We start from the raw sequence: 18080 nt of genomic DNA, 5'->3' as shown, positions 1-18080 counted from the left end.
TCAGGAAGGAAACATGGTTTATCCTCAAGAAAATTTAAATTAGAGAGGCCCTACACTCAGGCGTCTCAGCCCAGTAATTGACAAAAAATAGCCTCAAAATGATAAAGATGTGGCCTGTGAAAGTCAATGCTGAGACCGCCCAGACTTTTTCCCCATGCTTTGGTTTTAGAAGTGGGGCAACCATCCTAATCTCCCAGACAAGAGGTTAGGGTATTCTCCTGTGGAAAACTAAATTGCTTCAGAAAAAGACCTTGTAATACAAATATTTAGAGATTTCCTAATAAAAAGCTATTTTGAACATGGGATCTTCACTTGATGTGGAGAGTAAGTACTGCTTACACACTGGCTTTATCAGGAGGATTTTCAAAATAATCACATGTAGGGGGAAAATCATAATTGTGAAGGTGGGGAGGGTTATGGTTTATAAAGGTATTATGAAAAAATTTATCAGAGATAAATCTATTCTACTTTAAATGAAAGCAAATAAGTATTTATATTTCATAAAATAAAATATGATAATACAGGTTGAACATCCCTAATCTGAAATGCTCTAAAATTGGAAACTTTTTGAGTAACAACATGCCTCTAGTGAAAAATTCCAAACCTGCCTTCACATGATAGATAATGTATATTACTGAAAATATTGTATACAATTATATTCAGAGTATATATATCAAGTATATATGATACATAAGCGAATTTGTGTTTAGACTTGGAACCCATCTCCAAGATATCTTATTATCTATATGCAAATACTCCAAAATCCAAGGAAAATTGAAATTAGAAATATTTCTGGCCCCAAGCATTTCAAATAAGTCATGCTCAGCCAATATATTAATACTATTTAAAAACACATAGGTACAGATCAGAAAAAGCACCTGCACTTGGTGATCTGCTGATTTTTGTTTTAAATGTTATCCAAAATGTAGATAGCATTGATTTGATAAAGTCACATTGATAAAAAGTATTTCTATACATATTAGTATTTTATATTTTCTTTGACAACTATTTTTTTGTTTTTCTTATTCATTTACATCTCTGATCAGTATGAATTTCTCTTTTGATGAAAAAATATTTAAGGACATACCTTTGTCTTTAATTCCAAAAAGTGAGTCAGCTATACGATGAATACATTCTAGAGATCTAGTGTACAGAATGGTGACTATAGTTACTAATGATACATTGTTTATTTGAAATTTGCTAGAAGAGTATATCTTGTTTCCTCACCATACATACACACACACACACACACACACACACACACACACACACCCACACACACACTCACACGGTAACAGTGTGGTGATAAATGTGTTGATTAATTTAATTGTGGTAATCATTACACAACACATATGTATATCAAATCATCATATTGAATAGCTTAAATATACACAATTTTTTTGTCAATTATACCTCAAAACTTATTTGTTTTGCCAGGAAATCACTCCAGATATCCACTTATTTCCTTCAATGCTGCTACACTGAACCAGATATTTAATTAAATGTTACTTGTCAATCATTACTTTCCTGATTATTCTATTTAAAAAAAAACCCATGAGTTTTGTTCACAGAGGAAAAAAGTAGAAATTACTTAGAACACAAAGTAAAAAAGAATAAGTCCACATCAAACACATGCAGACTAATTCCACAAGGGATAATCATTTCAGTATATAAATTTTCAGAAATTTTATGACTAAAGCCTTTGATAAAATATTCCTTTCTAAAAACCTCAGTTATTTTCATTCTTCTGAGATAATCATTTAAAATACACCGTTTTCTTCCCTAAAATTGTCCTTCAGGCATTTAAAAGAATTGTCGCCACTTTATCTTCTTTTTCCAAAAAAAAAATGCCCCTCTTTTTTACTGTCTTCCAATTCTGTATGCTTAGAAATAAAATATGTTGTCATTTTTTACTATATTTTCTCATCACTTTTAAGTTTAAATTGTATTTTTAGCTTTCCATTTTTAAATTCATTTAGTAGCCTGATAAACCTTTGTCTGAGCCTGCATACTAAAACAAGTTGGAACTGTTTATATCCAAATTACCTTGAATTTCAATTTTCTATTTATCATGTTTTTTACCTTTTTGAACTTTCATTATATTCTTCTTGCAAGAGAATATTAAAACAAAGTTGAAGCTCATTTTCTCATCATACCGTATTCTATCCATGATACATCGCTGTACCTTTTCTTCAAACAATGAACCTATCCCTTTCTCCTACTTAATGAAAGAAAAAACAAAAACAAAATGTATGTGAACAATGTTTCTAGTATTTCACAAACTTTGATTCATTCTGGGTCTGGTCTTTTTTCAGGATCCTGGAATCATTTATCTACACCTTTTTCCAATTATGAAAAAATCCATTTCACAATTGGCAGAATTGCCACAGGGCTTGAGTGTTTGCTTTGGTCAAATTACCCTTTTTTTCAGGAATTATTTGTTACTGTATAATGTAAATTTTATTCTTTAGTACTTTTAATATCTCTCTTATTCTACTTTCTCGGTTGAAAAGCTCATTTACTACTGTATTCCAAAAGCAAGGCTTGTAATCTAGATCTAGGTTGAATTCCTAGCTCTGATGCCTGTAAACTTGGACATGCCCTATAATCTCTGAGTCTGGGACTCTTTCTCTATAAAATGATGAAAATAATGTGTACCCTGAAATTTGTTAGTAATTTTGTTTGAACTAGTATTTTTACAACACTCTTGGACAAACTAGGTGTACAATAAACAGATAATGACAGTCATGAGATTATATCTTTATAATGTTTAAAAATTCTTTCTCTGCTTTAAAACATATGTGAACTATAGCTCGATTACTTGATTTTGTGCACGTATATTTTGTATTCTACTAAAAATCTCAAGATGTGATGTAATAATTGTCTTTTATGAATGCTATTTATTCTTATTGATGTGAATTAGATCCAGATCAACAGTTTTCCTATTTCTATTTCCACATTTCCATTCTTTTTCTGAAATGTGAATTTGCCAACATTTGTTAATTCAGTTTATCAGAGCATCTCAACTTTCAGTAGACTTATGAAGATTATAGTTCCCTAATTATTACAAGTCTTGTTTCTATGTGGGTAGTATACTTTCTTTTAAATAAGCATGCCTTGATTGCCACCTTTAAAAAAAAATTATCCTACTGAGATATTGCTTTTGCTGTATCAGATCAAGTCATCCCTAAAACAAGGTCTTTCATTTGGAGAAACAAACTGGATTCTTTTCATGAGTCTGTCATTCTGGTCATGAAATCCATGTGATGGAAGAAAACAATTTCTAGCATTATACTGAGAGATTTAGGAGTAGAAAACTCCACATACATAAAAGAGGTGAAAATATCATCTATCCCCGAGTACCCTACAGTTCTCTACTTAGAACTGTAGAGTTGACTTGAATTTTTGGTTCTTTCAGTTCCATCCTTTGACTCCTTACTGTACCAGAAGATGAAGTTTTTATTCTTGTCAAAGGTGGTTTATCTTAAACTTGGCACATAAGGCTGGTCTGGTCATCATAACTATTTGCCACATGCTAGCTGTGTGACTTTGTCCGAGTAACTTTTCCTCCCCAAAGCCCAGTTTTCTCATCTGAAAGGGATGCCAGCATTCATACATAGGAAATATCATTGTTAACAGAAAGAGGTCCCAATCCAGACCCCAAGAGAGGGTTCTTGAATCTCATGCAAAAAATAATTCAGGGCGAGTCCACAGAGTCAACAAGTGAAAGCAAGTTTATTAAAGCAAAGGAATAAAATGACTACTCCATAAGCGCAGCAGCCCCAAGGGCTGCTGGTTTACTATTTTTATGATTATTTCTTCACAATATGCTAATCAAGGGGTGGATTATTCATGAGTTTCCCAGGAAAGGGGAGGGAAATTCCCAGAACAAACGGTTTCTCTTCTTTTTAGACCATATAGGGTAGCTTCTGGACATGCTATGGCATTTGTAAACTGTCATGGTGCTGGTGGGAGTGTCTTTTAGCATGCTAATGCATTATAATTAGTGTATAGTGAGCAGTGAGGATGACCAGAGGTCACCTTTGATGACATCTTGGTTTAGGCAGGTTTTTTTCAGCTTCTTTATTGCATCCTGTTTTATTAGCGGAGTCTTCGTGACTTGTATCTTGTGATACCAGTCCTGCTCACCTCCTATCTCATCCTGTGACTTAGAATGCCTAACCTCCTGGGAACCCAGCCCAGAGGCCTCAGCCTCATTTTACCCAGCCCCTATTCAAGATGGAGTCTCTCGGGTTTGAACACTAGTGCCATCATAATAGTTATTTTTAAAAGCTTATTAAAGTCACCTAATAGAGTGCCTGTTAAATATGGTGCTAATTCTTTACTTAGTTTTTTTCCCTTTAATGTGCCGGACTTTCTCTAAAGTTTTAATGAGGAACCAAAGAGAACAAAAGATGAATCTGAATACTTGAGAAAATTAAGATTCCTGGGGTGGGGTCGGGGTACACAAGAATGACAATAGCTAACACATAGGGACTTACTGTATACCTGACATTCTCCTAAACTGTTTTATATATCTACCCATTTCATCCTCAAACAATCCCAGGAGGTAGGTGCCATTATCATTTCTTGTTTATGCCTGGGGAAATGAGGCACAGAAAGATGAAATATCCTCCCAAGTTTTAGGGATAGGAAGCAGTGTAACTGAAATTTGAACCCAGGAAGAATGAGTCTTATGGCTGTGCTCTGAATCATGACACTAAGTTATCTTACTGTCAAAAGGACCCAAACCTCAGTATTTTAATCTTAATAGATGATTCCCTCAATCTAGTATACCAACATAAAAATAGACAAAATTGGAATAGGAGCCATTCCTTACCCCTAAAAATAGTACTGCTTTGATCTTTCTGTGCCAGGAAGAAATCACTGGCTAAGATCTTTGTGTTCCCAGCTCAGCAGTTTCTTTTTTAATCCTCTCCATTTTGGCAAGTAGACAAGGTCACAAAATACACAAGTGCCTTAATTTTATTTTTTTATTTTAAGGTAGACTTCTGACCAGAGTCAGTGACATTTGTAGCTTTTTAATTATACACACATGCCCCTTTCATCTTGCATAATGCTGAGCAATAAAATCAAATGTGCCTTCTTACCTCCAGGTGTCTATTTGGAGCATAAAGCATTTGTATTATGTGTTAATCAGAACATCCATATTTTGGTGGGGTAAATATGGACACAAAATGCAGGAGTTCACTTACTCTATTGTAATGAATTTTTAGTCCTGAAAAACCCACAAAGGGGTTAGAAAATGTTGGCTATTATGCTCTTTTAGGAAAATATATTGCCTAAGGATAGAGAAGTGCTGAGTATTGGGAAACCAAACTTGATTTAAAGGAAGCAAATAGCATGACATAAAGTAACATTAAAATAACTTATAAGAATTTGATCATGAGACATGGAAATCAAACAAGGAGGATAAGAAGAGCATTACTTGCAAATGAGTGCTTCTGGCAAAATTTAGAGATATGTCAACTTTAAGAAACAGACAAACAGAAATTATATTTTCACTTGGTGCTTAGACCAAAACAAGCAAACAGAGTTTAAGGAGCAGGTTTGCATGTCTTATTTCATAATCCAAATAGCCGAATCAATATAAAAATTTTGCTATCTCCTAATGTGCCTTCTGATATGGTTTGGCTCTGTGTCCCCACCCAAATCTCATGTTGAATTGTGATCTGGAGTGTTGGGCCTGGTGACTGTATCATGGGGGTGGTTTCTAATGGTTTAGTACCATCCCTCTAGTGCTGTCTTGTTACTGAATTCTTACAAGATCTGCTTGTTTGAAAAGTTTGTAGCATTTCCCCACCACCATCGACCTGTATCTCCCTCCTGCCACGATGTATTTGCTTCCCCTTTGCCCTTCTGCCATGCTTGTGAGTTTCCTATGGCCTCCCCAACCATGCCTCCTGTACAGCCTGTGGAACTGAGTCAATTAAACTTCTTTTCTTTATAAATTACCCAGTCTCAGGTAGTTCTTTATAGCAGTGTGAGAATGGACTAATACACCTTCCCTCCAAATTTTAGTACATTCTCTAATATGTCCTCAAAGGTTCTCTAAGAAATTATTTATCAGATAAGAAGTAACTTATTTTCATAAAATGTAGGAATCAGAGAATTTAGAGTATTTCATAATTTCAAATACCTAGATTCCAGGCTATTTTGAATACAAAGAGTTTATTTCAAGTCAGCAAATATTTAAGTAGCTGAATGAAAAACTATGTAAAATACTGTGTAAATTACTTGAGTTCATAGTATGTGCTCCACAAACATTGTTATTATTTTTCTTCAAGCTGAGTTTTATCTCCAAGTTAACTATTCAGGGTTACTTTTTGTTTTCTTCTTTTTTTACTTGAGCTCTATATTTTTGTCAAGTAGAAAATCTATTAATTTATGACTATATGAAACTATCTTAGATTCTGTGGTAGAAAACAAAGATTTAACTTAATACTTCTTCCAATAAATAAGTTCAAAGTCTAGTTGAGGACATAAGCTTAAAATAGGTTAAAAAAATACATATCAAGGCAGTATAAAGTCATTTCCAAGTGATTAATGAATAATATCTCTAGGAGTTGATAGGAAGGAAAATAAATGGGGTTATCATGATCAGTGAGAACTTTATGATAAGTTTATCATTAACTGAGTCACAAGGATAGGCAAAGTCTACGCAAAGAAAAATATTATTCAGTAATGTTACATAGGAAATATTTCATATAGCCATTGAATCTTAAATGTTATTTGAATGAATGGCTTGGATTTTTTTTATTCAATGAAGAAGAGGTAGGAAGGGATTTAGAATCAGATAGAATTTTTAAAGGTTTGGGGTCATTAACTATTATATTATGTCATCTTAAAAAAGGACTGGATATTCCTTCCTTGCAGACACTTGTTGCCTTTTACCATGATACATTGTTGAATGTTAACTTGATATATGGTTCTTTTCTCCATATGTGATGCTTTCATACCTCGCATAGAGCTAGGCAGGAAAATTGCTGTCAATGCCTTAATATTCTTGCTTCTCCATGGGGTAGACGGGGAAAGTTCCATGCACTAAGAGACTGTGCTTAGAATGGGACAGAGTTATCAAAGCACCACAAAACTCAAAGGAATACAGAAAAGAATTTATAAGATGGAAAAAATGTGATAACAGAAACTAAAAGAACAACAATCGCAATAATTATACTTATGTGACTTTCATCAAACATATAAAGATAAAACAGATAATTTTCAAGCTTTTGGACATAGCAGAATATTACATTTTGGCCATTTCTATAGACCATGTCAGAACTATTAAAAAGATTTATGTGATCTATATATTTGCTTCTTACTAATTAAATGTGAATTTAGTCAAAACAGTGAAATCATTAAACGTAAAAACATCTCTCTAAAATTCCCAATACAATCTTTAAAATGTTTTCAAATTAAAACTATAAGCCAAACATTTAGCTTACAGTTTACACTTAAATGGACACCTAGCTTACATTTAGGTATAGTAAATGTATTTTTGACTTAAATATTTAAGACATACCAAAAATCATAGCTTAGCCTAGTCTACCCCAAATGTGCTCAGAAAACTTATATTAGCCTACAACTGAGCAAAGTTTATCTTATAATTAAGTATTGAATATCTCATGTAACTTAATGAATACTGTAGTCAAACTGTGATTTAGGCAGAACTGCTCTGAGTAGTGTTTAGAGAGGAAACCGGAGTTCTATCAGATGAGTAGAATACAGACTAGACAGTATCTGTTATCCATACTGCATAACAAACCATTCCAACATTTAGTGGCTTAAAGCCACAACAATTCTATTATTTTTTATAATTCTTTATCCTGGACCAGATACAGTTTGTTAGTGGTTCTGCTGCTCATGGTGTATGCTAGGGGTAGAATGTCCCAGGGATATTTCGCACTCACATGTTTTGTGCCTCGTGTGTAACTCAAGCAGCTAGGGGTTTGCTGGTCATCTCTCTTTCTATGTTGCCTGTAACATGTTTATCTTGGGCTCTCTAAAAGAATAGTAATCTCAGGGTAATAAGATTTTTACATGACAACTACATTTCCAACAGGAGTTTTGCAGAAGGGCCAAAGCTGAAAGCTGTAAGTCTTTTACAGCTTGATGTTGGAAGTTAGAGTCACCTCCACCACGTTGTCTTGGTTAAAGGAAGCTCTAAGACCAGCTCACACTGAAGAGAGTGGAAAATAGATTGCACTTATTGATGGGGGCAGTGGTAACATAGTTGCAGTCATCTGCCACAGAAATCTAGGCTCTTTTTAGCTTATTATAGTTATGCATTACTTAAAGCTGGAAATGCCTTCTGAGAAAGGCATTGTTAGGGGGATTTCATCATTGTGCCAACATAAGAGAATTTATTTACTCATACCTAGATGGTATAGCCTACTATATGCCTAGGCTATATGACCTAACCTATTGTTCCTAGGCTACATACTTGTACAGCATATTACTGTACTGAATACTGTAGGGAATTCTAACACAGTGGCCAGCATCTGTGTATCTAAATATATCTATACATGGAAAAAATAATCCATCACCAACCAAAACATTGTTATGACACATGACTGTAGCTGTATAATTAGTATCCATTCCTAATGTAACCTCCTAGTATAAGATACCCATATTTGCACCTGACTAGAAGGTGAAATGAAAAGGGAACACCCTTTCCTCAAAGGGCACATTGAAAATTGCCCTAACCACTTCTGCTTTCGTCTTGTTAGCAGAACTTACTTGCATGATCGCATCGAGCTCTAAGGGAAGCTGAAAAACGTAGTATTCAGGCAGACATGTGCCCAGCTATCAAATCTGGGGCTATTTTTCTATTGAGGAAGGGTATAAGACATTTTTAGACAACTAGAAGTTTCTGCCACAAAACTTAGTAAGGTTGAAATTTTATATTTTTCTTAATGTCCACAGGTAGAGACTGTGTCTATTTTGTTGCTGCCTACTCTGTAGGATATTCTTCAGAAACTGCAGTATGGAATAGTGCCAGATGACTGTGGAAAGGAAGGCAGCTTTACTGAAGGGTATTTTCTTTCAAAGGCGAACCCAGTGAGAACCTGCTTTTTATAAACCTAGTTTCTGGATGGCAAGCTCCCATCCATCCTCTCTTAGGAGCTGTAGGCATTTTCCTAATTACATGGTATTCTTGGATAGATATAAGTACAGCCAATTGGTTCTCTGCATGCAAAGTTCATCTGAGCTACCAGGAAAATATTGCACCAATGTGTGTCTCTTCACAGTTTAACCATTATTTTAATAAATCTTGAAAACGTTTGCTTCCTATTCGATACTGACAATCCCTTTTCTTCACACACAAATGACTTGTTATAGGCATTTTATTTAGGGAGAACATGATGGTATCTGTCTGAATAAGAACAAAGTAATTTCCCTCAAAGCATTTGCCAAGTGCCTTGGGAACACATACTCCATCACTGGCCAATACACTCTTCAGTTCTCATTCCCTAAACTCATCCACATAGTATATGCATCTAAAAAAGGCAAAATAGTTCTGAATTCAGTTTTTTCAATAATTTAAAATGAAGATTAAAAGGGAAAAGGAACCCAGAGGTCACTAGCTAAATTTTATAAATTGATTCCTAATATTACCATGATACTCAACATTTTCTTTACATTTTACCTATATATTTAAAACACTCTCCTTTTTGCTAATTTCACAATAGTTTTGACAATTTACCTTAATCTTATTTTCCCAAGTTTTCTCACAATAGTGAACCTACACAGACCAACGGTTTAAGTGACTTTTTAGCATCCAAATGAATATTCTCTGCCCTGTGTTTTGCTTTTGAGGACCTGACTAGGTTTTTCTACCTCTGAGTTTTTTGTATTATGTTAATTCGGTTTAGTTTCCCAGAATCATCTTTTCTGCATGGTTCTGGGTTAGAGTTGTCCAAAAGAATTCACAATACATTTGAGGGAGGGCACTTAGGCAGCAGCTCTTATTCTTGGATGGTCACCAGGGTCACTTGCTGTAACAGGCAGATGCAGAGGTGCCAGTGGGTTCCTCTCCCACTCCCTTCTTCTATGTGTCTACCTTCTCAAACCCCACCCCAATTAACCAGCAGCAGCTCTAGGCCCTTTCAGAAGTTTGGCAATAGACCCATAAAGATGGTAGCTACGCAGAAACAAGGTTTTTCATAGGCCTTTCTACCTACTTTTTCTATGGTCTCTCAACTTTCTCCTGGACATTTACTTCCCAGCTCTTTCCAAAATTATATAGTAACTAATTCCCATTGGATATCCCTTGATCATTCTGACAGGGTTCAACCACAGGTTCAAGTGTTTAAGCTGAAAAAAACTAACTGTTGGTTCTTTAGGTGGTAGGGAGCCACACCAGCAACTGGACTGACTGATTCCTCCAGATGACAAAAATAAACATTTTGTAAAATTTAAGCTACTATTCATTTACTGGTGTCTGTTACTCACAGGTAATGGTCAAAAGTAATATGCAGGCTCTCTAAAACTGTTCCAAATAACAGAATTCCCTTAATGCCAAAATTATTCCTATCTTATCCTGGCTAATGTATAGAAAATCAATTTCATAGAATTAACTACAAGTTCTATATTCAAGAACAATATAACAGTATCTATTTCCTCACAACTGTATCCCTAACATATAACAATAAGAGATATATAGTCAAAGATGAATAAAACACTTATTGAATAATGAAATGAATCCTTTTTGAAAATACAGTCCTTTATGAGTACAACACGGATAATTTGAAAAAATATGGTAAATATTTTACACCTCTAGGTATTTAGTTGCCGAAAAAGGAATTCATTTTATGAATCACTTAAGTATTAATGTGCAAATTTTCAATTGTACTTCCATAGCCTAGAGATTAAGAATTAATTCAGATAATAAGTCCCACTGAAATTCCAAATTGGAAGTCATATTCCTTAAAGCCGTGTTCTCTACTCTGAAGTTTAGTCTTCTGAAGAGCAGGGGCCATCAGTTGTTGCAAGGAGTTCATAAATCCATGTAGGCATCAAACATTTTTAGAATATTTAAATGTCTAGTATAACATGAATTGCTAATTTTAAAAAGCATGTGAATGTTACATGTGAATTAAACAGATTCACATATATTTAAGATTTACTAATACTGCCTTTTTACTATATTCTCAATCATTATCTACTAAAATCACAAGTACTGTCATTTCTCTTTACAAATCATTACAGAAAAACTTCTAATCAACTTAGTCATACTCTCTCAAAATGGTAAAAGTGTATGTGTGTGTGTATTCTCATATATGTAAATACATATATGAGGTTCTATATCAGTACTGGGAAACTGGCAAGGACATCATCTGCCAACCAAAAATTTCAAACAAGACTTATAAAAATATAGTTCAGATAAGACCAAATTAAGAAAAGGAAATTGTCTAGGAGTCATTAAATGCGGTAGTGGGGAAAACACTCGGATAATAGGTGGGTGGATCATGTGTTAGAAATCCACCAAGATTTCTAGTGGTGGCAAGGTGGAGGTAATAAAATGGCTATTGTTAGTGGGCAAATTTCAACCATATAAATAAATGGCAAAACCTTCAACACAGTGGAGCAAGAATATGTTATGATTCTCCTAATATGATATAATGTGAAATGTATTGGATCATCTGACGAGTATTTTTCTCAGATACATTAATCTTGAATCGCCTTTGGCTTTTAGCTCCAGCTTGAGATTAAAAACAAAAAGAACATCTTAAATCTCAACACGAGGAAACAGGAGAAAAACAATTCATAAAGTGGTATATTCTGTAACGGTAGACTGGATATTTTCAACAAATCAATTGCATGAGAAAAAGTGGACATGATAAGCCTTATATACATTAAAAATTACTCATGTGACGTAACTAAACAACAGTAGGTAGATCTTATTTGGATCCTGATTTAAAAAAAATTGCTGGTACTGTGGGTACATAACAACATACCTTTAATTTTTAGAGACGAGTCACTTATGGATGATATCTCTGTGGCAGGCAGAATAATGGCCCTCCAAAGTTGTCTGTATCCTAAAAGTCCCTTTCTCAACTGTGAATATGTTGCGCTACAATGAAAAAGGATAATTAAGGCTACATGTGAAATTAAGGTTGCTAATAAGGTCACTTTAAAATAAAAAGATTATTCTGGGTTATTTGGGTGGGCCCAATGTAATCACAAGGTCCTTTAAATGTAAAAGAGGTAAACATGCAGTGTCAGGGTGATATTATATAGCCCTGTCAACACCCTGATTTTATCTGTGGGAGACTCATTTTGGACTTCTGACCTCCAGAATTATAAGGTAATAAATCTTTGCTAGTTTAAGCCTCTAAATTTGTGGTAATATTTCACACCAGCAATGAAAAACTAGTACTCCGAGATTTGAATTAAACATTTTAGTATAATAATTTTAAAAATTTAAATAAAGCAAGCATAAGTAACTATTTACTGCAGGAGGCCAGTTTTAGTCTTTGTATTTTTAGGTATGTTTGAAAAATATACAACTTCTATTTAAAGTTATCATTTAAATATATTATAAAATTTAGAAAACTAAATAATATGAAGTGTCGGTGAGCTGTGAGAATATAAAAACCCTCATCCATTTCTCATGGAAAGTAGGCCATGGTAGGCAGTCAGGAGATACACAAACAGACTATGCAACTGAAATTTGATTCTGGATATATACTGCAAAGAAAATCTCACACAGCTCCTTTCAAGGGTATGAATGATTATGGTTACTGAGGTACTTTTTATGATTGGGCTCAGTGGGTTGGTAGTCCATAATTAGCAGAATAAATAAGGTTGATTCATATAGAGGAAAACAGCAGTTAGGTACAACAACACAAGATGAGATAACACAATATTATTTACATAAAAGTATACACTCATCAACGATATGCTTTTTAAGGAAATCATGACTTATCTGGAAGCACAGAAAAATAAACAGAAAATTCAGGGTAAACTCATTAGGGATCTGTAATTGCCCAACAGATTTTTCCTGCCTGGTGCACAGATAAAACCAATTCACTGAGACCATACTATTGCAGTAGAGAAAGAGTTTAATTAATGCAAGGCTGACCAAGTGTAAGCATAAGACTTGGTTATTGTTCAAATCTACCTCCCCGAGAACTCAGAGGCTAAAGTTTTAATAATTTAGTGAGCAGAGACCTAGAGAATGGGTACTGCTCATTGGTTTAGTATGAACTCACAGAGGTGTGAGAAAAGGTCCTCTTGTGCTTAGTCCACCTCTGGGTGGGGTGGCCACAGGACCAGTTGAGTCATGAGTCATGGGTCTAGGTGGGGTCAATTACCAGAAAGCAAAAGTATGAAAAACAAATTAAAATGTCAATATTAGGTTCTACAATAGTGATTTTTTATATAGGAGCAATTGGTGAAGTCACAAATCTTGTGACCTCAGGCCACATGACTCATGGCTAGTAAGGGATTATAGAAACTATGCCTACATCTTAGCAGAATTTAGCCCTCTCCATAATCCTAATTATGTGGTTTTAATTAGTTTTACAAAGGTGATGTCAGTCCCTCAAGGAGGGGGTTAGTTTTAGGAAGAGACTGTTGTCATCCTTGCTTCAAAGTTACTCTATAAATTCCTCCTATGGTTAGCTTGGCCTATACTCAGGAATGAGCAAGGATAGACAACCTGTGAGGATAGAAGTAAAAAAGAATCAGCCACACTATACTTCTCACTGTCATAATCTTTGCAAATTTGTTTCACGACCACAGAAAAATAAAAGGGATAACAATATTAATTTTTAAGTAGGTACATCTCAATTTCAGAGACTTAAATGAGAATAACTCCCTTCATTTATAAATGGTAGTAGAGCTTTAGCCCCTGAATAGTCTTCTGACATCAAGTCTTGCCTGTCTTCTCCAAACCATCCTGCACATTGCAAACGGATTTATTTGAAATAGGGGGAAAAATGGATCATATTGTTTCTTAAAACTGTTCACTTGTTCTTGGGAAACAATCCAGAATCCTTAGCCTGTCTTCCAGGCAGAGAATTAGCCTTGTGTGCTGTCATTCTCTCCTTTCTCTCTCCACTCCAACCCTCTTTACTTGCTTTCATTTCTGAAGTTTCATGCTCCTCCTCGCTCAAGGCCTTCACACTTTTGCTTTTCCTTGGTCTGTAATTCTCATTCTGCCACCATCTTTTCCTCAACACACAAGTCCTAGGAAACCGTAGATTACATAGCACCTAACACAAAAACAAAAAGGAAAAAATGTTCTGACTTTTCAGGTAAATTCCATTATTGCACATCTAAAGTACCCTATGTCTCCTTTACAGCCCTTACATGAATTGAAATAAAACTATATAGTATATAAAGAGTTTGTTTCACTTTCTTTTGGTTTCCATAAAATACTTCCCATCATGAGCACTTCATAATAGCAGGTATTCTGTATTTAAGGGGTACAGATTAGGTGCTCCTGAAATATTTGCTGAGTGAATTTTAAAAATCATTTATGTATCTAAACCTCTATTAAAATGAGTTTAGTCAGAAGTGTTAAGACAGCACCTTCCACTTTTGACAGATGAATTATGCAAAAAATAAGAATAAAAGTATTTGGTAATCATATATAATGAATATGAATTTATTTTAAGATTTCTAAATGACATATATTGAAACTCTGTACATGGCTAAAAATGTACATTCTTTTTAAAATTTCTCATTGGTTTTCAAAAAAGGATTATATATCATTTTTACAGGGTTAGAAATTATATACACCATGTTTTCTGAGTTCAGGGCAACATATGCAAGATTAAAAACAACAGAAGAAAAGGCAAAAAAAAAAAAAAACCATCTGAAAAACCCAGAAAGATGGAAAGCTCTTCTAAATATCTCATGGGTCAAAGAAGAGGTGATTATGGTAATTCTAGTCTATTTAGAAAATTACAAGTATGAGTTCCAAGAAAGATACAAGAAAAAGAGCACATTGGCATATTTCAATATACTGAAATTAGCAAAATTGAACACAAGTAAAAATTTGAAGGGAGGATACCTTTATTAACTAGAAAACAGAAAATTACTAAAATTCCAAACTGTCATCCTGTTGTAATATAATTTGCACCAAATAAACAGAGGTCATGAGAAACTTACGTAGAGCAGGTATGCAAAAACTTGTTCTGGAAAAGATTAGGTTTTACAGGCCATATATGCTTTTTATGGCAGCAACTAAATGCTGCTGTTACAGTGCTAAAGCAGCCAGACAATAAGTAAATACATAGGTGGGGCTTGGTTCTAATAAAGCTTTTCTTTCCTTTTTTTTTTTTTTTCAGGCAAGTTCTTGTTCTGTCACCCAGACTGGATAAATTGGCTCAATCTCTCAATCTTGGCCCACTAGAACCTTCAGCTTCCAGGTTCAAACAATTCTTGTGCTTCAGGCTCCCAAGTAACTGGGATTACAGGCATGCGCCATCGTGCTCAGCCTAATAAAGCTTTATTTATGGACACTAAAATTTAAATTTTTTTTTCACATCCAATATTCTTATTTTACCTTTTTCAACCATTTAAAAGTATAAAAATAATTCAAAGCTCTCCAACTCTACAGAAACAAGTAGAGGAAAAGGGGCTGTAGCTTGCCAATACCTGACAAACTTTCCCTCTATCAAATATAAACAGTAAAGGTGACAATTGGGGTCTGGGAGCAATGCGTAAAACAGGAACTATTCTGCAATTAAATTCCACAAGCAGTTGAATTTAGGTGTTCCTATACTTACATGTGTGTTGTCTGACCGACAACACAGCATAAATACAATCTATTCTTTTTTTTTTTTTTCCTCTTTTCTTTGGACCAACATTTTTAACTGGAAGGAGTAAGTCCTGAAGATGGCAGTGGGCTGCAAGTAAAATACGACATACTGTATTTCATTGATTTTTGTAAGATTCACATTGTTTCAAATATCAAACATAAAATGGATTTTTATCTTATTGATGTCTTAAAATCTTTGTTAGCCAATCAGGAGCCATAAAATTGTTTTCATTGCCTTCATGTTCACAGACTTGATAATTGCTATTTTTTTCTTCATTGCAATTGTTCTGTGTGCTGCATTGTTACTATATATATATTGAGTTTAATTGCTTTTTAAAATGGCATCAGAAAGATTACACTGAGTCATTTTTTAAATGAAATGTTTGATTATGCAGGAGGGTTCAGAAACAAAGCAGCCATATTTATGATTAAATTTCCAAATTTTTTGTGTTCATAATCATACATGAATTAGTGATGAGTCTTATAATCAATTAAGTGGCAAAATTAATGAAATATAATAATTAACCTACAGGTAACCTTAAGGTGGCTTTCTAATGTCAACTTAGGGAAAATAAAACTTGCAATATATACATGAATGTGTAGATCATTATCTTTTCTCTTCTCCTGAAGATCATTTAATAGCCACAATTTTTGAAACTTGTTTCCAACTGTTGGTTCTGGAAATCCTTCTCTCATCTATATGTATAAAAATTTGTTTTAGCTTATACTATTTATATTTAAGTTCACATAAAGATACCAAAATACAGATTACACATAATACAGAGACAAAAACTGGAAAACCCACTGTTGGGTTCTATAGTAGTCTAGAGTCCTTTCTCTTTTCTTTTTATTTTTTTAGAAATTGTGAATTTTTTTGTTTCTTACATTCTATATTATTTTATCAATTTTTTAAAGTTTCTGAGAATTAATAATTGTTCATACTTACCAGTTTATTTTTTTCTCATTCATTGTGTTTGAAATGCTTGTTCCCCAGTGCCATAAAGAAATAGCACTTGAACATAAATTTAATTTAGTAAGGCAATTTTTACCTCCTGCAGAAAGGGTACACTCGCCAGCAGTTTTGCCACGAGAGTACACTGAACAAAGGAGACAGGGTCATTTAAAACCTGACGCGTCCACCCTACTGCTGTGTCCGGTTTCCATTGGCTGGAACGGAACCTCACATTCTGTATTTGTCTAGCAACTTAGAACCTTTTAAAAGAGGCAAAGGTAGATGAGAACAAAGGAAGGAGGAAGTAACTTGTGGAATGCTGAGAAAGGTAAACCCACTTTTAAATAAGGAAGAGGAACAGGCTATGACCTAAAGCTTGCTTGGACCAGTATAAGCATGCCAGGGCAAATATTTAGGCTAAGGTGGGAGCTAAGAACATAAAGTACATTGATTTCTTTATCACGGCTAGCAGATATTTAAGAATGTTAGCACAGGTGTTTGAATAAATTTTGCTTCTATGAGAAGTTACTATTTATTCCTAATTAGACGGGGAGGAAAGTCTTTGAAGAGGAACCTCTACTTTCCTTTTTTTACAATTGACTTGTTTTACCTTTATCAAATTCTTACCTTCTCCCATCAATAAAATCAATCACCTTATAAAGCGTGTCGTCAATCAAGCTTCTGATGGAAATATCTTCTGATGTTTGTATCCGAGACATCTCCCCTAGGTTCCTCTTGACTCGTTTACTTGTTCACTTTGGAAACAGCCAGACAACAATCCCTAATTGTCTTATCTAGTTCAGAGTCAGGTATTGTTGTAGTAAATTTCCTTGTGTAAGCATATTCCTAATTAGATAATTAGGAATTCAATAAATGAGTTATATAAATTGTGGATATAAAAATTGTCACTGGATCAGGAAATCTTAGAAAGTATAATAGGATGAATATATTAAAATAGAAAAAACTCAAAAAGATGAGAAAATGAAGACATCTAAGTAAATGTGTTGCAAAGAAAAGGGACTGCTCTTGAAGTGGAAAACAATGAGACAATTTATGCAGATGTTCTCTATTCATTTGTTTGAAGAATGTCAGATAGCTGCATGTGAAGAACTTGTGAATGTCTGTAGTTATATCTGAGTAAACTATTTAAAGAAATGTAATACTGTCTACCTGACCAATAAGAACAAATGGAGTTTAAAACAAACGTTTATTTACATGAACAACAAAGAGACAAGCGTTTCTACTATAATGGAGACTGTGACTGTGTTGCCGAACCATCACACACACGTGAAGGCTGTTGAAGGAATAGACTGATTACGGAGAGCTGGGTGA

The 18080-nt window shown here is 34.3% G+C and overlaps 1 long non-coding RNA gene across 1 annotated transcript; it reads right to left on the bottom strand.

Annotated features, from left to right (window-relative positions):
• Positions 1–13255: 13255 nt before the first annotated feature.
• On the bottom strand, positions 13256–16781 carry LOC105374829 (uncharacterized). Its single transcript, XR_001739195.1, has 3 exons — positions 16743–16781; positions 15765–15884; positions 13256–14243 (listed from the first exon to the last, which is right to left on the bottom strand). It is a non-coding gene; the product is annotated as an uncharacterized LOC105374829 (long non-coding RNA).
• Between the last annotated feature and the right edge of the window lie 1299 nt (positions 16782–18080).

The sequence above is a fragment of the Homo sapiens genome, chromosome 2 (assembly GCF_000001405.40).
Source record: "Homo sapiens chromosome 2, GRCh38.p14 Primary Assembly".
In the NCBI taxonomy this organism is placed as follows: Eukaryota; Metazoa; Chordata; class Mammalia; order Primates; family Hominidae; genus Homo; species Homo sapiens.
Note: the sequence above shows the minus strand (reverse complement) of the source record. Positions and strands in the feature narration are given on the sequence as shown.